Below are 20,893 nucleotides of genomic sequence, written 5' to 3' on the forward strand. Positions count from 1 at the left end.
CTGGGCTCTGTGTGCCTTGGCTGCAGGGATCTTGCCTCGGAGCTGGTCCCACTACACGGTGCCTGCCGGCATGACCGTCATCCAGTGGGTGTCCGACTTCAGCGAGAGGATCAAACAGCTGCAGAACATCTCACTGGCAGCTGCATCTGGTGGCGCCAAGGAGCTAAAGGTGAAGGCGCTCCTGACGAGTCTCGGGTGGTCAGCAGCTGTCCTGGGCTGGGGTGGGAGTGGCTCTGGGGAAAAACACAGGGCCCAGGTCTGACCTGAGCTCCTTCCCCTGGGGGCTGCTGCTTTCCACAGAACATCCACGTGTGCCTGGGTGGCCTGTTCGTGCCTGAGGCGTACATCACTGCCACCAGGCAGTATGTGGCCCAGGCCAACAGCTGGTCCCTGGAGGAGCTCTGCCTGGAAGTCAACGTCACCACCTCACAGGGCGCCACCCTTGACGCTTGCAGCTTCGGAGTCACGGGTGAGTGGAGTCTCACAGAAAATACTGGCTCTTTGCAGGTGACCTCGGTGGCCTGAGACCATTGTTCCCAGATACATGCACTTAGGGTGACCGGCTGGCAGTTGGGTGGAGCCTCTGGGCGCCCTGTGACTGGGGTTTGTGTAGCTGTTGTGTTCACCTCAGCCTGGGTTTTGGCTTCCGCCTCACAGGTTTGAAACTTCAAGGGGCCACGTGCAACAACAACAAGCTGTCACTGTCCAATGCCATCTCAACCGCCCTTCCCCTGACGCAGCTGCGCTGGGTCAAGCAGACAAACACCGAGAAGAAGGCCAGTGTGGTAAGGAGGCACTGCCTTTCCCAGGCATTCTGCAGGGACCCCTGCGGTAACAAGGGCAGAGGCGGCTCCTCTTCTATGCCTGGGTTCCACTTGGAACGGGAAATGAGGTTCACAGAGGAAATCCATTTCGCACCTGTCCAAACCTCTCCTTGCCGGGCCCCATCAGCTGTCCCGGGCAGTCTTCCAGTTTTCTTACTTTTCCCTTAAGCCACCAGTAAACCCCTCTGCTTCTGCAGGTAACCTTACCTGTCTACCTGAACTTCACCCGTGCAGACCTCATCTTCACCGTGGACTTCGAAATTGCTACAAAGGAGGATCCTCGCAGCTTCTACGAGCGGGGTGTCGCAGTCTTGTGCACAGAGTAAACTTTTCTAGCTGCCCCTTTCTGTAATAGTGAAAGTTGGTATTTAACATTTATTCATTTTTAAAATATTTGGAAGGTCTGAGCTTGTGAAAAGAAAGTGGTTGGTCTGAGGTTGGAGGAAGCTGAATGGAATCTGACGGTTGGGAGTGGTGGAAATTGGAAGGATACCAGGAGGTATTTGGGAAGGCCAATGGCGTGGCTCCTTTGAGGAAATAAAACACTAAGCATGAGCCGGCTCCGCCTCTTCTGTCTCCGCTTTCATCCCAGGGCACAGAGCCTTGCCTTCCATGCTGCCCAGGGAGGGCAGCCCACGGCAGCCATGCCCCTCCCCACCTCGCTTTCATCATGAGCTCGCTCCCGAGCGGCCACAGCACTCATGAATGAAGACCTTGGGGCCCTTCACAGACACAGATGCAGCCAGCTGTGGCTCTGAAGGCCCTGGGGCCCGGGCACCATGGTTCACACCTTTAATCGCAGCACTTTGGGAGTCTGGGAGTTAAAGACCAGCCTCGGCAACATAGTGAGACCCCGTCTCTACAGGAAATTAAATCAGGTGTGGTGGTGCATGCCTGTAGTCCCAGCTACTTGAGGGCTGAGGTGGGAGGATCACCCAAGCCCAAGAGGTCGAGGCTGCAGTGAGCTGTGATCTCACCACTGCACTCCAGCCTGGGTGACAGAGCAAGACCCTGTCTCAAAAAAAAAAAAAGCTGGGCGTGGTGGCTCATGCCTGTAATCCCAGCACTTTGGGAGGCCGAGGCGGGCGGATCACCAAATTAGCCGGGCATGGTGGCACATGCCTGTAATCCCAGCTACTCGGGAGGCTGAGGCAGGAGAATTGCTTGAACCTGGGAGGCGGAGGTTGCAGTGAGCTGAAAAAAAAAAAGGCAGCCCCCAGCCGCTTGTGTTCTTGACCAGGGCCCCAGGACTTGGCTCCTCCAGACAAGGGAGTTTTGTGCTGTAGATGAGGGAGTTGCCCATCGCCGCCCTAGCAAGTCCATTCCCACACGACCTTTCCAGTGGTGATGATGACAGTGGCCCATACAGCTGACTGTTTGCATCTCACGTTCACATTGCTAGAGGTGATGGGTGTGCTACACCCGTGGAAACAGGCTTCTGGCATCTCAGTGTCTTTATTTTATTTTTGAGATGGAGTTTCGCTCTTGTTGCCCAGGCTGGAGTGCAGTGGCGTGATCTCAGCTCACTGCAACCTCCACCTACCGGGTTCAAGTGATCCTCCTGCCTCGGCCTCCTGAATAGCTGGGATTACAGGCATGCACCACCATGCCCAGCTAATTACTATATTTTTAGTAGAGACAGGGCTTCACCGTGTTGGCCAGGCTGGTCTCAAACTCCTGGCCTCAGCCAGTGATCCTCCTGCCTCAGCCTCCCAAAGTGCTGAGATGACAGGCATGAGCCACTGCACCTGGCCAAATTTTTGTATTTTTTGTAGAGATGGAATCTCGCTATTTTCCCTGGGCTGGTCTCAAACTCCTGGCATTAAGGGCTCCTCCTATCTCAGCCTCTCAAAGTGCCGGGGTTCTAGGTGTGAGTCACCGAGTTGAGCCCCTAAACACATGTTTTTCTTTTTAGAGACAGGGTCTCACTCGGTTGCCCAGGCTGGAGTGCAGTGGCGTGACCATGGCTCACTGCAGCCTCAACCTCCCGGGCTCAAGTGATCCTCCCACCTCAGCCTTCTGAGCAGCTGGGACCACAGACACACACCACCATGTCGGCTAATTTTTGTATCTTTTGTAGAGACAAGGTTTCACCATGTTGCTCGGGCTGGTCTCGAACTCCTGAGCTCAAGTGGTCCTCCCACCTTGGCCTCCCAAAATGCTGGGATTACAAGTGTGAGCCACCACACCCAGCCCCTAAAAACATTTATGTGCATCGACATCAGCTTTGATCAGAAGAGCCCCTGCTCCTCTTGGGCTGGGACCCCTTCCTGGACTGAGTCTGCTCACCTTGGATTAGGCCACCTACTGCTTCTTCCTCTTCCTTTTCTCAGGCTCTGCAAGGAAGAGCTCCAGCTTCCTCTTGGAGAAGGAGATTCTGGGCCCCTTTTCTCTCTCCCAAACCTAGGTGGTGGCCATGCCCCTCGAGCTCTGCTTGGCACGTGTCTGCCAGTCTCAGGGGGCTCCATGGGAGTGAGGAAGGGCTCGGCGGCCCTGGGGGTCTGGTCCTCCTCCGCCATCCTCGAGTCCTCGGGCTACGTGCCCTCATCTTTGGCTTCCAGGGACACGGGCCCAGCTGGCCACTTCTATGACAAGAATGTGGGTTTTTTGTGACAGGGCGTCTACTATATGAACTTCCTCTGGACTCTGACTTCAGTGTGTAGGAAGCCACCTTACAGCTCATGTCACCCAGAGAACAGTCGTTGCAGCTCCAGTTGGAATGACTGGGGGTGTCTTCCGAATCGCCATCATAAAGATCTAAAAGCTGAGGACAAAAGTGTTTCTCAGTCCAAGAGCAGTTCTGCGAGGCGGAATCAAGTCTAACATGCTCGCATGCGCTGACTCTTCCTCCCGTCACTGATGCTGGTTTTTGCAGGCTCTGCCTTGCAAATGAATTTTTCTTTCTTTTTTTTTTTTTTTTTGAGACGGAATCTTGCTCTGTCGCCCAAGCTGGAGTGCAGTGGCGCAATCTGGGCTCACTGCAACCTCCACCTCCCGGATTCAAGCGATTCTCCTGCCTCAGCCTCCTGAGTAGCTGGGACTACAGGCGCCCGCTAATTTTTGTATTTTTAGTAGAGACGGGGTTTCACCATATTGGTCAGGCTGGTCTTGAACTCCTGACTCAGGTGATCCACCCGCCTCAGCCTCCCAAGGTGCTGGGATTACAGGTGTGAGCCACCACGCCTGGCCGAATTTTTATTTGTTTTTTGTTTGTTTTTGTTTTTTTTAAAAAACTGAGTCTCGCACTGTTGTCCAGGCTGGAGTGCAGTGGCGCGATCTCGGCTCACTGCAAGCTCCGCCTCCCAGGTTCACGCCATTCTCCTGCCTCAGCCTCCCAAGTAGCTGGGACTACAGGCGCCCACCACCAAGCCCGGCTAATTTTTTGGATTTTTAGTAGAGACAGGGTTTCACTGTGTTAGCCAGGATGGTCTCGCTCTCCTGACCTCGTGATCCACCCGCCTCCCAAAGTGCTGAGATTACAGGCGTGAGCCACCACACTCGGCCTCTTTGTTTGTTTTTTTTTTTTTTTGAGACAGTCTGGCTCTGTCACTGAGGCTGGAGTGCAGTGATGCAACCTCATCTCACTGCAGCCTAGACCTCCTGGGCTTAAGTGATCCTCCCACCTCAGCCTCCCCAGACTACAGGTGCACACCACCACGCCCGGCTAATTTTTGTATTTTTTGTAGAGATGGAGTTTCGCCATGTTGCCCAGGATGGCCTTGAACTCCAGGGCTCAAGCAATCCACCCACCTCAACCTCCCAAAGTGCTGGGATTACAGGCATGAGCCATTGTGCCCAGCTGCAAATGAATTTTTAAAAATGTGTTAGATCAATATTCATATCACCCAAAAACAGCCTGAGAGCCCGCCACCACTGGGGACTCAGCCTGAGCCTTGTTCCCAGAAAGCCCTCAACGCAGTGCTGGGCACAGACCTGGGAGGCTTGGCTCAAACCGCCCTGCCCTCCGTTGGCAGGGCAGAGCTCCGTCTTTTCCTCTCAACAGCTCTTCCAAAGGGCAAGGCAGCATTTTCCTGGTGAGGGGCAAGCGAAGCTGAGGCCAGACCCACCCCCGAGTCTTCCCTCTGCCACATCCAGGGCCTGAAGGGCGTTCTGGGGAGCCTCCACCTTCACACCGAAGGCCGCCAAGGTGGTTGGCAAGAAGCTGAAATGGGCGTTTAAGTCCGAACCTTGTTTTCAAAGGTGCCCATTGCCTGTTCTCAAAGCAATGCACCTGAGAAGCAGTGGCAGGTGGCACAGCCCACCCCCAACCGCCAGGGCCACCCAAACACCAGTTACAACACCATCACCAACAGAGCCTTTGCAGAACTTTTTTTTTTTTTTTTTTTTTTGAGACGGAGTCTTGCTCTGTCGCCCAGGCTGGAGTGCAATGGTGTGATCTTGGCTGACTGCAACCTCCGCCTCCCAAGTTCAAATGATTCTCCTACCTCAGCCTCCCAAGCAGCTGGGACTACAGGCACCCACCACCATGCCCGGCTAATTTTTCTATTTTTAGTAGAGACAGGGTTTTGCCATGTTGCCCAGGCTGGTCTCGAACTCCTGACCTCAGGTGATCTGCCCACCTTGGCCTCCCAAAGTGCTGGGATTACAGGCATGAGCCACCACTCCTGGCCCTCTTGTATTTTTTTGTAGAGACAGGGTTTTGCCATGTTGCCCAGGCTGGTCTCCTGGGCTCAAGTGATCCACCCACCTTGGTCTCCCAAAGTGCTAGGATTATGGGCCTGAGCCACCCCACCCGGCCCAACCTTATTATTACTGAAGTCGCCTTGTTACACACAAACATCTACAGTGCCTCCTGGCCACTCCTTCTGGACTTTTCTTTCCTAGCCCAGGTCAAAGTGGGCCTTCGGGAGGACCCTGGAGGAGAAGCCCCCTCCTCTTCACTTCCACCCTCTCTCTTCCACCCCTGGAAGTCAGCTTTCTGACCTCAGAATCCCAGCTATCTTCTGGACTCAGGTGACAAGTCACCTAAGTGACAGATCCAGCATGCACTTTATGACCATCACTCTGCTCCTCCTGCATCAGCGCCCCACCCAACAGAGCCGACCAGGCTGGGAACACCGAGACCGAGAGCGCGTGGCTGTGTCTACAAAGGCCTCCTCTTTGAGGGAGACACGCGAGGCACGGGTGGGGCGATGAGACAGGATCGGCCGGTCCTTGACAGTCTCTGAAGCTGGGAGAACATGACCCCATGCTCTCCTGTTGGAGTCACCACCTCTTTGCCAACAGCCACCAAACCTCCACCTCCAATTAAGCTCCACCCCCATGTCCCCACTGCCCTCCGGACATCTGTTCAGCACCCCCCTCGACCTGGCCAAGGCTCCACGCACCGCCCTGGTTTCCCGCTCTGCCCAGCCCCCCGCTGAAGTCTCTAATGGGTTCTTCCGATTCCACCTGTCCAAGGTAAAACCCTGAGGTTGTCCCTCCTCCGCGGCACCTCCAGGTATCTGGTTGCTCAGGCTGAAATGTTTCCCAAGGCCCTGGCTCCTCCTCCTTCCAAACCCCGCAGGCAGCTGATTAGCAAACTCTGACTCTAACCTCAAAACATGTCCAGAATTCAGCCACATCTCCCCACTTCCCCGCCTGGCCCTGGGCCCCGCTATTCCATCTCAATCTCTGCCCTGGCCCCCAGCCCAGCATCCACTCTCAGACCAGAGCAATGCTTGTGAACTCCGAAAATCTGAGACAGGTCTCAGTTAATTTAGAAAAGATATTTGTCAAGGTTGAGGACGCGCACCCATGACACAGCCTCAGGAGGTCCTGACTGGGGGGAGAGAGACCCTCTCATATTGTTTTATACTCAGTACCTGTTTTAAGAAAAAAACGAAGTGAAATCAAAGACAGGCAGCCCGGCGCCAGGCCCAAAACCAGGCCTGGGCCTGCCTGGCCTAAACCTAGTCGTTAAAAATCAGCTCATGACTTAGAACCCGATGTTACCCATAGATTTCAGGCATTGTATGGAAGAACATCGTGAGACTCCCTGCTCTGTTCTGTTTCACTCTGACTACCAGTGCATGAAACCCCTGTCACGTATCCCCCAGACTGCTCAATCAATCACGACCCTTTCACGTAAAATCTTTAGTGTTGTGAGCCCTTAAAAGGGACAGAAATTGTGCACTTGGGGAGCTGGGATTTTAAGATGGTAACTTGCCGATGCTCCCAGCTGAATAAAGCCCTTCCTTCTACAACTCGGTGTCTGAGGGGTTTTGTCTGCGGCTCGTCCTGCTACACTGACCACACGTACCCAAGGTGCTCAGAGCCCAGTTTGGTTTTATACATTTTAGGGAGACATGAGACATCCGTCGACATACGTAAGATGGACATTGGTTCCGTCTGGAAAAGCCTCAGAGTGGGGAGGGGGCTTCCAGGTCACAGGTAGGTAAGAGACAAATGGTTGCATTCTTTTGAGTTTCTGATGAGCCTTTCCAAAGAGGCGATCAGATATGCATTTATCTCAGTGAGCAGAGGGATGACTTTGAATAGAATGGGAGGCAGGTTTGCCCTAAGCAGTTCCCAGTTTGACTTTTCCCTTCAGCTTAGTGATTTGGGGACCCCAAGATTTTTTTCACATGTTGCTAAACCCCACCACGTAGCACACCAGAGACTGAGCCCTCACCGCACCCCCAACTCCCGCTGCAGCTCAGCCCTCTCGCCCCTCCACCTGGCCATCCCGTCCTTCCATCCAGTCTTTACTCTAGGGTCACCCTTCCCTGAGGCCTTCCTGGAGTCCCCTTCTCGTATTTCAACACACCTCACACACGCACAGGTGCACACGCGCACACACATGCTGCACAGTTGCACACACGTGCAGACACGCTGCGCAGATGCACACGTGCACACACATGCACACCCACACGCTGCAGTTGCACACACGTGCACACGCACACCCACATGCACAGTTGCAAACGTGCACACACTGCAGATGCACACACGTGCACACACATGCACAGCCACAAGCTGCATAGTTGCACACGTGCACACGCTGCGCAGATGCACACACGTGCACACATGCTGCACAGTTGCACACACGTGCACACTACACAGATGCACACACGCTGCACAGATGCACACACGTGCACACATGCACACCCACACGCTGCACAGTTGCACACACACGCTGCGCAGATGCACACACGTGCACACACATGCACACACACGCTGCAGTTGCACACACGTGCACACACACCACAGATGCACACACGCTGCACAGATGTACACACACGCTGCATTTTTCTCTTTGGTCCTTACACTCTAACATGCTCACATTTTCCTCCTCTATCACTGTTAGGATCAGAGTCACTCCCTCCCAAAATGACCTGTGCTCCAGGACCTGGGGCTCGGCTGCTTTGTCTACGGCTGTGTCCCGGAAGCCAAACCCCTGGCTCTGAGCAGGCAGTGGTGCTCAGTAGGCATTTGCTGGATGAGATCCAACACCTAACACCTAACACCTAACACCCAACACCTAACACCTAACACCTAACACCTAACACCTAACACCTAACACCCAAACCAAATGCCTTTCCCACAAAACGTGCCCCTCTGTCTGCAGTGTTCCTTGAGTGCCCCAAAATCACTAAGCTAAAGGGAAAAGTCAAGCTGAGAACTGCTTAGGGCAAACCTGCCTCCCACCATCCACGAAGACTCCTGAGCCGGAAGCCACAAAGCTTCCACTGGAGGCTGAATAGCTGATGGGTCTAGAACCAGACTCCCTGGGTGAAACCGCCTTTGCAAAATGATGGCAGCGAGGGAAATCTGATGTGGCCGACCCCATCTTGCTTCTAGCCTCACAGCCTGGCCTCTTCACTCATTCCTGGGAGTCGTTCAAACTAACTTTGGGAGAAATTTAGTTTGGAGTTTGAATGATAATAGCCCTTCCCCAAACTAAACTGCACTTGTAAAACTAATGAAAGACCACCACGTTAGGAGGACAAGAGGGCCCTGAATTCTGCTAACGGTCAGCTTAGTTAAAACATTACCAGCCATTGTTCTAGAGGTCACGAGAATTGCAACTTTCACAATCACTCTTGCAATGAAGCTAAGATTGTCCTTTTAAAATGTCTTTAGGATTTTGCATTTCTGATAACAGGATGGCCCCAGCCAGATCATGACTCAACCAGTCCTGTGGTCCCTGCCCAGGAGCGGACTCAGTGCATGAGGACCACTTTCCACACCCCTACAATTCCATCCCCAAGCAAGCAGCAGCACCCATACCCTAGCCCCCCGCCCACCATACTTTCTTTGAAAAACGTGTAACCTCCGAGCCTTTGGTGAGATTGATTTGAGTAATAACTCCGTCTCCTTTGTGGCGTGGCCAGCCTCATGTCAATTTAACTTTTTTTTTTTTTTTTTTTTGAGACAGAGTCTTGCTCTTGTTGCCCAGGCTGGAGTGCAGTGGTGTGATCTCGGCTCACTGCAATCTCCATCTCCAGGGTTCAAGCGATTCTCCTGCCTCAACCTCCCAAGTAGCTGGGATTACAGATGTGAGCCACCACGCCCAGCTAATTTTTGTATTTTTAGTAGAGAAGGGATTTCACCACGTTGGCCATGCTGGTCTCGAACTCCTGACCTCAGGTGATCCGCCCGCCTCAGCTCCCAAAGTGCTGGGATTACAGGCGCAAGCCACAACGCTCGGCCTCCTAAACTCTTTCTTTAGTTCAATGCCATGCACTAAAGTGGATTGATTTTGTCTGTGCAGCCGGCAGGAAGAACCCACTGGGCAGTGACATGACTCCAAAAAACGGATCTGCCACGAACCCAGCTGTGTGACTTCAGACGTCTAAAGTGGCTTCTCCTAGCCTGTTTTCCCATCAGTAAATCTGGACAAAACGGTAAGGAGTCCCCACTGTGACAGGTGAAGAGGCATTTCATTTCATTGGCTACCTCAAGGTAAACATTTCACTTCAACATCCAACTTCCCACTCCCACACAAATCACTGCCCATGAGAATCACAAGGCTCAAAGGACACCCAGCCACTGGAAAAGTGCATTTTTTAAATAAGAGCATCACCTGTCACCCAGGACAGTGGAAGTCTGCATGCCACATGCAGTGTCTTTTTTTTTTTTTTTTTTTGAGGCGGAGTTTCTCTCTTGTTGCCCATACTGGAGTGCAGTGGTGCGATATAAGCTCACTGCAACCTTCACCTCCAGGGTTCAAGCGATTCTCCTGCCTCAGCCTCCCGAGTAGCTGGGATTATAGGCATGGGCCACCACGCCCGGCTAATTTTGTATTCTTAGTGTAGATGGGGTTTTTCCATGTTGATCAGGCTGGTCTCGAACCGCTGACCTCAGGTGATCCGCCCACCTCGGCCTCCCAAAGTGCTGCAATTACAGGCATGACCCATGGCCCCTGGCCATTTTTTTTTTTTTAAGAGAATTTCTTTTTTTCTTTTTTTTTTTTTGAGACGGAGTTTCACTCTTGTTGCCCAGGCTGGAGTGCAATGGCATGATCTCAGCTCACTGCGACCTTCACCTCCCAGGTTCAAGCAATTCTCCTGCCTCAGCCTCCCGAGTAGCTGGGATTACAGGCATGGTCAGGCTGGTCTCGAACTCCTGACCACAGGTGATCTGCCCACCTCGGCCTCCCAAAGTGCTGCAATTACAGGTGTGAGCCACGGCGCCCGGCCATTTTTTTTTTTTTTAAAGCGAATGTATATATTTTTTTTTTGAGACAGGGTCTTGCTGTGTTGCCCAGGCTGGTCTCAAACTCCTCCCACATCGCTCCCAATGTGCTGGGGCTAAAGGGCCTGAGCCACCGTGCCCAGCCCAGTGTCTTCCTCTTTGAAGGGAGGGTCTTGTTTAAAATGCTTTCAGGAGGCCCTGTGGAGTGGGTTGAATGGTGACCCCCACAAAATACATATCCGCATCGAATCTCCTGGGACCTGTGAATGTGACCTTATCTGGAAATGGAATCTTTGCAGAAATTATTAAGGATCTTAAGATGAGATCATCCTGGATTTAGGACAGACCCTAAATCCAATGACAGGTGTCCTTATAAGAGAAAGGCAGAAGGAGATTTCAAACACTCACACACACACACACACGCGGAAGCAGAGACCGGGGGAGTCGTCCCCCAGCCGAGGAGTGCTCCGGGCTGCCAGGAGCCACCGGAAGCCGGAAGCGGGGCCTGCAGCGGACCCTCCTTCCGAGCCTGCAGAGGAAACCGGCCTTGCTGATGCGCCCTGTCAGAATTCTGACCTCCAAGACCACCAGGGAAAGCAGGAAGCCCTAGAGGGCCGTTTCCAGGACTGTGAAAGAATAGATTTCTGGCGGGGCGCGGTGGCTCACGCCTGTAATCCCAGCACTTTGGGAGGTGGAGGCAGGTGGATCACCTGAGGTCAGAAGTTCAAGACCAGCCTGGTCCACATGGTGAAACCCCATCTCTACTAAATATACAAAAATTAGCCGGATGTGGTGGCAGTCGCCTGTGGTCCCAGCTACTCGGGAGGCTGAGGCAGGAGACCTGCTTGAACCCGGGAGGCAGAGGTTGCAGTGAGCCAAGATGGCGCCATTGTGCTCCAGCCTGGGCAACAAGAGCAAAAACTTTGTCTCAAAAAAAAAAAGAATAGATTTCTGGGTGCAGTGGTGTGTACCTGTAATCCCAGCTACTCGGCAGGCTGAGGCAGAAGAATCCCTTAAACCCAGAGTTTGAGACCAACCTGGGCAATATAGTGAGACCCCCCACCTCAAAAAAAAAAAAAAAAAGTCATTTTCTGTTGTTTGAAGCCACCAGTTTGTGGTAATTTGTTGGCAGCTATAGGAAACCCCTACAGTCTGTGAGGTCTAAGAACAAACTGGGGGCCGGGCGCGGTGGCTCATGCCTGTAATCCCAGCACTTTGGGAGGCCGAGGTGGGTGGATCATGTGACGTCAGGAGTTCGAAACCAGCCTGGCCAACATCATGAAACCCTGTCTCTACTAAAAATACAAAAATCAGCCGGGCGTGGTGTCAGGCGCCTTAATCCCAGCTCCTTGGAGGCAGGAGAATCGTTTGAACTCGGGAGGCGGAGGTTGCAGGGAGCCAAGGTCAAGCCATTACACTCAAGCCTGGGGGACATGAGCGAGACTTCTCTCGGAAAAAAAAAAAAAGAACGAAGTGGGTGCTGTGAGAAAAATGGCGTTATTTAGACTGGGTGCGGTGGCTCACACCTGTAATCCCAGCACTTTGGGAGGCCGAGGCGGGTGGGTCACCTGAGGTCGGGGGTTCAAGACCAGCCTGACCATTCCAGCACTTTGGGGGGCCGAGGCAGGTGGATCACGAGGTCAGGAGATCGAGACCATCCTGGCTAACACGGTGAAACCCCATCTCTACTAAAAATACAAAAAATTAGCCGGGCGTGGTGGTAGGTGCCTGTAGTCCCAGCTGCTCAGGAGGCTGAGGCAGGAGAATGGCGTGAACCCGAGAGGCGGAGCTTGCAGTGAGCCGAGATCGCGACACTGCACTCCAGCCTGGGAGACAGCGAGACTACGTCTCAGGAAAAAAAAAAAAAAGACCAGCCTGACCAACATGGTAAAACCCCATCTTTACTAAAAATACAAAATTAGCCGGGCGTGGTGGCATGCGCCTGTAATCCCAGCTACTCAGGAGGCTGAGGCAGGAAAATCACTTGAACCCAGGAGGTGGAGGTTGCGGTGAGCCGAGATCATGCCATTGCACACCAGTCTGGACGACAACAGCGAATAAAGAAAAAAAAAGACATTATCTAAGAGACATGTTGTTCCTTCCACTTGAAGTTAGGAAGAGCAAGTGCCACTCACGATGCCAGTACTCAGTGAAGAAGGGGAGAGGCATCAGTCCGGACTAGAGGCATCTTTAGTCAAACATTTAAGGACCCACGATAGGCAAAAGACCAGGCTAGACAAAAAATCATCTAGTATTCAATTTGGGTTGCCACAACTTCAGTCATTTCAGAGTGACATTTCCAAAACGTAGAAATACTCCAACTTGTAGGGAAAACAGATAAAAGAGGTGGGGGGTAGTTTGAATGCAACTATGGTCTCATTTTTCCAAAGGTATCATCCTTCAACTTCATAGCTTAGTTTTAGAATGCAGTTTGTTTTTTTGTTTGTTTTTGAGATGGAGTCACGCTCTGTAGCCCAGGCTGGAGTCACGCTGTGTAGCCCAGGCTGGAGTGCAGTGGCCCAATCTCAGCTCACTGCAACCTCTGCCACCTGGGTTCCAGCAAGTCTTCTGCCTCAGCCTCCCAAGTAGCTGAGATTACAGGTGTCCGCCACCATGCCAGCTAATTTTTGTATTTTTAGTAGAGATGGGGTTTCACCATGTGGGCCAGGCTGGTCTCGAACTCCTGACCTCAGATGATCCGCCCACCTCAGCCTCCCAAAGTGCTGCGATTACAGGCGTAAGCCATTGTGCTGGCCTTTTTTTTTTTTATTTAAAAGAGATGGAGGCATCTCACTATATTGCCCAGGTTGGCCTTGAAACCCTGGGCTCAAGGGATCTGCTCACCTCAGCCTCCTAAGTAGCTGGGACTACAGGTAGGCACCACCGCCCCGGCAAAACTGACATTTTAAAATGGAAACATTAAGCTGAGTTGGTGGCTCACACCTATAATTCCAGCACTTTGGGAGGCTGAGGCGGGCAGATCATCTGAGGTCAGGAGTTTGAGACCAGCCTAGCCAACATGGTGAAACCTCGTCTCCACTAAAAATAAAAAAAAAAAAAAAACAAATTAGCCGGTCGTGGTGGCGCATGCCTGTGATTCCAGCTACTCGGGAGGCTGAGGCAGGAGAATCGCTGGAACCTGGGAGGCGGAGGTTGCGGTGAGCTGATATCGCGCCACTGCACTCCAGCCTGGGCGACAGAGCTAAACTCCTTCTCAAAAAAATAAAATAAAAATAAAAATAAATAAAGAAAGAAAGAAAAGAAAATAGAATGGAAACGTTAGGGAGTAGCAAAGCAACTCTGACCAGCCCTCGGTTCCGCCCCTTGTTAGTGTGGGCCCCACCCCTGGCCGTTTTGGCCCCGCCCCCGCGTCCACGCCGCCGGCTCCCAACTTCATAAGCTGTGACGATTAAGTAGTATGAAAAACCCAACAGCAAAACACAAATGGAACACCAGAGGGTGCATTTGTCACCAGACATCTTCTGGAGTCTTTTGCTAATTGCACATACCACTGCCAGATGGCAAAGGATCAGTACAGGTTTCCTCATGAACGCCTTTAACATTTTAGTTTGTAAATGCAATTGTCTGATGCATTAGTAAAATGCTGGATAATAGCAAAACATTAATAATAATAATAATAATTAAATGCTTGTCAACCAGGCAGTAAGAGGACAAAGATGACAGGCCAGGGCTTTCCCCAGACAGCCCAAAGCCTCAGGCACGCTGGTGGCCTCCCTCCCCAAGAATGGACTGACCGGATTCCTGGAGCCACCAGCCCTGTCACCCCGCCCCTGCAGCCACGCCTGGGGGAGCGGCGGCCGGTAGGGCCGGGCGGCTGCGAGGCCAGAAACGCCTCCAAGAGCTCCTACCTGGGGTCCAGAAGGTAGTCTGGGGAGCAAGCTCCGGAGAGACGAGCGGGGGAGACTGGGGTCCCAGCAGACGCAGAATGGTCTCTCCACAAAGAGGGGTTAGCAAATGTACTCTCCAGACCTGTCCCCACCCTCCACACCGTCAAAGAGCAAAGAGAAAATCTTCCAGGCCCCCACTCCAGGCATGGTGGGTGCGTCAGGATTCAGAACAGATGACCTCTGCCTTGACCTCCAGGCTGCCCTCAGGTTCAGACCAGGGCTTAACTCAATGCCGCATTTCTGCCTCAAAGGAAAAACGTGGTTCAGAAGTTCCCACTTAACAATATTTAACAATTCACCAATAGTTTTAGTTCAAAACCAGATATCCTTTCCTTGAAATGTGTTGTGAAAGATTTCTCAAGCTCCTTCTCCCCAGCGTGGTTCCTAAGAGCCTTAGCGTGAGCTGAGACTCAGACCCCTTCATTCCCGGGCAATACTGAAATGCTCTCGGTTTCCAGGGCGCTGCATCTTTACTCCTCCACCCACCTGCAACGGTGATCTGGTTTAGGCGTTCAGTATCTGAGCACCTTCTCTGGATCAGGCACCAGGGAAAGCAGGAAGCCCTAGAGGGCCGTAGAGGCCCGTTTTCCCAGGATGAACACACACTTCTTTCTTTTTCTTTCTTTTTTTTTTTTCTTTTTTGAGACAGTCTCACTCCATTGCCCAGGCTAAAGTGCAGTGGTATTATCTCGGCTCACTGCAACCTCTGCCTCCCAGATTCAAACGATTCTCCTGCCTCAGCCTCCCAAGTAGCTGGGATTACGGGTGCATGCCACCTCGCCCGGCTAATTTTTTTTTTTTTGAGATGGAGTTTTGCTCTTGTTGCCCAGGCATGGCGTGTAGTGGCGCGATCTCGACTCACCGCAACCTCCCCCTCCTGGGTTCAAGTGATTATCTCACCTCAGCCTCCCGAGTAGCTGGGATTACAGGCACCTGCCACCACGTGTAATGCCCAACCCTGTTTTTACTAACCCTGTTCTTAGACTCTCCCTTTCCTTTAATCACCTAGCCTTGTTTCCACCTGAATTGACTCTCAGCTAAGAGAGCCAGACAGACTCCATCTTGGCTCTTTCACTGGCAGCCCCTTCCTCAAGGACTTAACTTGTGCAAGCTGACTCCCAGCACATCCAAGGATGCAACTAACTGATAAGATAGTGTGGTGATCAATATCCACAGTTCCCAGGAATTCATCCAATTGATAACGCCCAAAGCCCCGCGTCTATCACCTTGTAATAGTCTTAAAGCCCCTGCACCTGGAACTGTTTACTTTCCTGTAACCATTTATCCTTTTAACTTTTTTGTCTACTTTACTTCTGTAAAATTGTTTTAACTAGACCCCCCCTCCCCTTTCTAAACCAAAGTATAAAAGAAAATCTAGCCCCTTCTTTGGGGCCGAGAGAACTTTGAGCATTAGCTGTCTCTTGGCTGCCGGCTAAATAATCGGACTCTTAATTCGTCTCAAAGTGTGTCGTTTTCTCTAACTCACTCAGGTACAACACACGCACAGCTAATTTTTGTATTTTTAGTAGAGATGGGGTTTCACCATGTTGCAGACTGGTCTCAAACCCCTGACCTCAGGTGATCTGCCCGCTTTGGCCTCCCAAAGTGCTGGGATTACAGGCATGAGCCACCATGCCCAGCCTAATGTTTTATTTTTTGTAGAAACAGGGTCTTGCTATGTTGCCCAGGCTGGTCTTGAACTCCTGGGCTCAACCAATCCTCCAGCCTCAGCCTCCCAAAGTGCTGGGATTACAGGGTGAGCCACTGGCACCTGCCACACTCTTGAAGGAGTCATATCCTCGCTCCCATGGAGGGGGGACACCCCCATCCTCTATGTGTGAGGAGGAGTCCTCACTTCCCCGGGTGGGCCAGACTGCTTCGGGCCTCTCTTGGCACTGGGGGCCTCTTCTTGATGGTGACAGCCCCTCCAGCGGCCCGCACACCTGGCTGGGGGCACCTGGGCACACTCGCACCTAGCACGTCTGCACCATCTGCACCGAGACCCGGGCTAGGCCAGAGCTTCCTCTGTTCCCAGAAAAGCAGCCCCAAATTCAGCCCGGTGTAGCAAATAATTGGTCCATGATCTCCGACTATGAGCAGAGCGTGTTGTTACTCAAGCTGGGGCCATTGTGAATCTGGGCTCAAGATCAATTTGGCCCTGGGGGTGACATTTATATAAAGTCTTTGAGGCTGAGCCTCCAGGGCCATCAGAGGGCACAGGGCTGCCACTCTGCACTTACCTCTTGGATGGGATGTCCATTTTGTTCCCAGAGTGATCACCCAGGAGTTAAGGGTGGCGGGGGTCCTGCGGTCCAGCCTGTATGATGTTGCTGTCTCCACGGCAACCCAGCACGGAAGGGCCCCGCCAGCCCGCCCAGGACCTCCCCCGCAGGCCCCGCTGCTCCTCCATCCCCCTGCCTGTTCCCTGCCAGCCCTGCCCATAGCCCAGGCCCCAGTAAGGCTCCTCAGATTCCTCCTGTCCGCCCTGGGCCCACTCTGGGCTCCACTCACTGCCAGAGAGGCCTCTGTGAGGTCGTGATTATGCCACAAAACTTTGGGGAATTCCCCTATGCCCTAGGATGACATCCAAATCCTTTAACATGGCCACAAGGGCCCACGCTGCCCCGGCCACCCAGCAACCCCCTTTTCAGTCCCTATCTGAGAACCTTTCACCCCAAGGCTGCAGCGACTCCCACCTCCTCTCATTCCTGGGAGGCACCAAGCCACCTTTCCTTCCAGCCACCCACAGCTCTTTCTTTTGCCAAAAATGCTCCCTTCACCCTCATCCCTGGCCCTGACTTAACCTTTGGGTTTGACACCTCCTCCAGGGAGCGTTCCTTGACCTCTCAAGTCTTTGTTAGGATCCAGCCAACCCCTCTGCACTACCACAGTAGGCCAGACCAGCCTGTGTAGAAAGTATCTGTTGATTTCTTTCTTTCTTTCTTTTTTTTTTTTTGAGACAGAGTCTCACTCTGTCGCCCAGGCTGGAGTGCAATGGCGCTATCTCGGCTCACTGCAACCTCCACCTCCCAGGTTCAAGCAATTCTCTCCTCCCTCAGCCTCCCAAGTAGCTGAGACTACTACATGCGTGCGCCACCACACCTGGCTAATTTTCTGTATTTTAGTAGAGACGGGGTTTCACCATTTGCCCAGGGTGGTCTCAAACTCCTGAGCTCAAATGAGCCACCTGCCTTGGCCTCCCAAAGTGCTAGGATTACAGGCATGAGCTACTGTGCTCTGCTGTGTCGGTTGAATTCTATGATGTTACTATACTGTCACCCTCTGAGCCTAGAAATTCTGAACCCTCAGCTCCTTAAGCACCTAGTGCAGTGTCTGGCACAGTAACCTTCAAAAAAATTTTTGAACGAATAATAAAAGGAATCAGTGAACTGAATCTGCCACAAGTCATGTTAGCTGCTCAGTTTTTTTTCTTTTTTCTTATATTTTTTTTTTGTTGTTGTTGTTTTTTGAGACAGAGTCTTGCACTGTCGCCCGGGCTGGAGTGCAGTGGTGCAATCTTGGCTCACTGCAAGCTCCGCCTCCCAGGTTCAAGTGATTCTCCTGCCTCAGCCCCCTGAGTAGCTGGGATTACAGGAGCCCGCCACCACCCCCAGCTATTTTTTTTTATTTTTAGTAGAGACAAGGTTTCACTATGTTGGCCAGGCTGGTCTCGAACTCCTGACCTCGGGATCTGCCTGCCTCAGCCTCTCAAAGTGCTAGGATTACAGGTGTGAGCCACCAGGCCTGGCCTCACTTTTTTTTTCTTAGTAATGTTTGAAGTCAGGAAGTGTGAGTCTTACTACTTTGTCCTTTTTCAAGATTGGCTTTTCTGGGTTCCTTAACATTTTCTTTTCCTTTTTTTTTTTTTTTTTTGAGACAGAGTTTTACTCTGTCACCCAGGCTAGAGTGCAGTGGTGCGATCTCGGCTCACTGCAACCTGCACCTCCCAGGTTTAAGCAATTCCCCTGCCTCAGCCTCCTGAGTAGCTGGGATTACAGGTGCCCGCCACTGCACCCATCTAATTTTCGTATTTTTTAGTAGAGACAGGGTTTCACCATCTTGGCCAGGCTGGTCTCAAACTCCTGACCTCATGATCCACCTGCCTTGACCTCCCAAAGTGCTGTGATTACAGGCGTGAGCCACCATGCCTGCTTCATTTTCATATAAACTTTATAACCAGCTTGTCAGTTTCTGCACAAAAATGCCAGCTTTTTTTTTTTTTTTTTTTTTTTTTTTTTTTGAGATGGAGTCTTGCTCTGTCACCCAGGCTGGAGTGCAGTGGCGTGATCTCGGCTCACTGCAAGCTCTGCCTCCCGGGTTCACGCCATTCTCCTGCCTCAGCCTCCCGAGTAGCTGGGACTACAGGCGCCCGCCACCACACCCGGCTAATTTTTTGTATTTTTAGTAGAGACGGGGTTTCAGTGTGTTAGCCAGGATGGTCTCAATCTCCTGACCTCGTGATCCGCCCACCTTGGCCTCCCAAAGTGCTGGGAAATTGTTAATAGGGATTGGGTTGCATCTGTGGATCAGTTTGGGTGGTATTGCTTATCTCCACAACATTAAGCCTTCCGATCCATGAACATGGTATGTCTTTCCATTTTAGTTTGTCTTTAATTTCAACAATGTTTTGTAGTTTTCAATACACAGTATAAAAAGTCTTGCATTCCTTTTGTTAATTTTATTTATTTATTATTATTATTATTACTTTTTCTTTGAGACCCACTGTGTCACCCAGGCTGGACAGTGAGTAATCCTAGCTCACTGCAGCCTTGACCTCCTAAGTTCAAGCAATCCTCCCACCTTGGCCTCCCAAAGTGCTGGAATTACAGGCATGAGCAACCAAGCCTGACCTAATTTTATTTTTAAATCTTTTATTCTTTTTGGTGCTATTGCAAATAAAAATGTTTCTTTATTTTCAGATCACTCATTGTTAATGTATAAAAATACAATTGATATTTATATATTAATCTTGTATTTTTTTTTTTTTTTAGTAGAGACAGGGGTCTCACTATGTTACCCAGGTTGCTCTTGAACTCCTAGGCTCAAGTGATCCTCCCACCTTGGCCTCCCAAAGTGCTGGGATTACAGGTATGAGCCATCATGCTCGGCCAATCTTGTATCCTAAAATCTTGCTGAACTCATTAGTTCTATAGATTTGTGTGTTTGTAATCCTTAGGAGTTTTTATATACAAGATCATGTCATTTACAAATGCAGATACTTTTTACATTTTCCTGTCCAATCAGGATATCAGGATGTCTTTTCTTTTTCATGACTAATTGCCCCTGGTTAGAACCTCCAGTACAGTGTTAACTAGAAATGACAAAAATGAACATCTTGACTTGTCCTTGTTCACTCACTTAATCGTACATTTAATTATAGTACCAAGTGCCTTGAATATGTCTGAGTGCAGAGATGTAGTAGGGAAAATACTTATGGGTGAAATGGTACAATGAAATCTCAGAATTGCCTCAGAATGACTTGGAGAAAGAAAGAAGGGTGCATTGAGTGTGGATGGGTGGGAATGGCCATGGCCAGTTGGCTGGTTGTTGGGGATGGTGATGGTCACTAAGGTTTCATACTATTCTGTCTGCTTTTGTGTACTTTTTTTTTTTGAGACAGAGTGTTGCTCTGCTGCCCAGGCTGGAGTGCAGTGGCACGATCTCTGCTCACTGCAACCTCCATCTCCCAGGTTCAAGCGATTTTCCTGCCTCAGCCTCCCAAGTAGCTGGGATTACAGGCACCCGCCACCACACCCAGCTAATTTTGTATTTTTAGTAGAGACAGGGTTTCACCAGGTCGGCCAGGTTGGTCTCGACTCCCAACCTCAAGTGATTCGCCTGCCTTGGCCTCCCAAAATGCTAGGATTACAGGCATGAGCCACCATGCCCGGCAACAAGAGTTGTTTAAATGGCACTTATTTGTGGAAGACACCAAGCCAAATATCCCACACATCTGGATTTGTCCGCCTGCTTCCTCAGAGTGTCATTTAGCACGTCCCTTTATCCCCTTATTTCCTATTAACTCAAATTACCAAGATAGTCTCCTGTTTTGAGACATGTAGATATTTTCAAATTCCCCTGCTACAGGGTTGTGGAGAACATTCTTGTACCTTTCTCCCGGTGCAAGTGGAAAGACTTTCTCTAGCACGTACCAGGAAGTACTCAGGGTGAGTTCTCCCACTCCATCAGATGTGCCAAATTGCCCTCCAGATTAACTGTATTGATCTGTACCCCCATCAGGTCACATGAGAGACCCCATTTTCAGACCATAGCCAACATTTGGTACTGTCCTCCTTTAATTTCTGCCATTCCTGATGGGTGTAAAATGCATCTTCTTACACTCACTTTCCCTTTCATGACTTGCAGTGCGGTTGGGCATCTTCTCTTACGTGTGTTGCCCTTCCAGGCTAAGGAAGGAGACTGAGACAGCAGAAACCACAGGATTCAGGAACTGCTTAGAAATGGTACCAACTGGTTTTATTAAAAGGGAAAGTGTTTGGCCAGGAGCGGTAGCTCACGCCTGTA

At 51.3% G+C, this 20,893-nt stretch overlaps 1 protein-coding gene across 1 annotated transcript in view, besides 5 other annotated features; it reads left to right on the forward strand.

Moving 5' to 3' along the window:
* Positions 1-7,030, forward strand: part of DYNC1H1 (dynein cytoplasmic 1 heavy chain 1) — a 91,871-nt gene extending 84,841 nt beyond the window's left edge. The window contains exons 75-78 of the mRNA NM_001376.5: positions 27-169; positions 301-469; positions 658-785; positions 1,022-7,030. Of these exons, the coding sequence (NP_001367.2) occupies positions 27-169; positions 301-469; positions 658-785; positions 1,022-1,150 (569 nt within the window). The 3' untranslated portion in view covers positions 1,151-7,030. The remainder of the gene's footprint in view (positions 1-26; positions 170-300; positions 470-657; positions 786-1,021) is intronic.
* Positions 47-1,031: an enhancer, noted in NCBI's record as "H3K4me1 hESC enhancer chr14:102515797-102516781 (GRCh37/hg19 assembly coordinates)". NCBI's record gives its function as "activates a minimal SCP1, AML or CMV promoter by ChIP-STARR-seq in naive H9 embryonic stem cells {active_cell/tissue: H9 hESC(naive)}" and the evidence as "EXISTENCE:reporter gene assay evidence [ECO:0000049][PMID:30033119]".
* Positions 1,219-1,513: a silencer, noted in NCBI's record as "tiled region #9666; K562 Repressive non-DNase unmatched - State 15:Elon". NCBI's record gives its function as "represses a minimal TATA promoter and a strong SV40 promoter by Sharpr-MPRA in K562 cells {active_cell/tissue: K562}" and the evidence as "EXISTENCE:reporter gene assay evidence [ECO:0000049][PMID:27701403]".
* Positions 6,923-7,628: an enhancer, noted in NCBI's record as "H3K27ac-H3K4me1 hESC enhancer chr14:102522673-102523378 (GRCh37/hg19 assembly coordinates)". NCBI's record gives its function as "activates a minimal SCP1, AML or CMV promoter by ChIP-STARR-seq in primed H9 embryonic stem cells {active_cell/tissue: H9 hESC(primed)}" and the evidence as "EXISTENCE:reporter gene assay evidence [ECO:0000049][PMID:30033119]".
* Positions 7,629-8,332: an enhancer, noted in NCBI's record as "H3K27ac-H3K4me1 hESC enhancer chr14:102523379-102524082 (GRCh37/hg19 assembly coordinates)". NCBI's record gives its function as "activates a minimal SCP1, AML or CMV promoter by ChIP-STARR-seq in naive and primed H9 embryonic stem cells {active_cell/tissue: H9 hESC(naive and primed)}" and the evidence as "EXISTENCE:reporter gene assay evidence [ECO:0000049][PMID:30033119]".
* Positions 14,668-15,555: an enhancer, noted in NCBI's record as "H3K4me1 hESC enhancer chr14:102530418-102531305 (GRCh37/hg19 assembly coordinates)". NCBI's record gives its function as "activates a minimal SCP1, AML or CMV promoter by ChIP-STARR-seq in primed H9 embryonic stem cells {active_cell/tissue: H9 hESC(primed)}" and the evidence as "EXISTENCE:reporter gene assay evidence [ECO:0000049][PMID:30033119]".

Source organism: Homo sapiens, chromosome 14 (genome assembly GCF_000001405.40).
Source record: "Homo sapiens chromosome 14, GRCh38.p14 Primary Assembly".
NCBI lineage: Eukaryota > Metazoa > Chordata > Mammalia > Primates > Hominidae > Homo > Homo sapiens.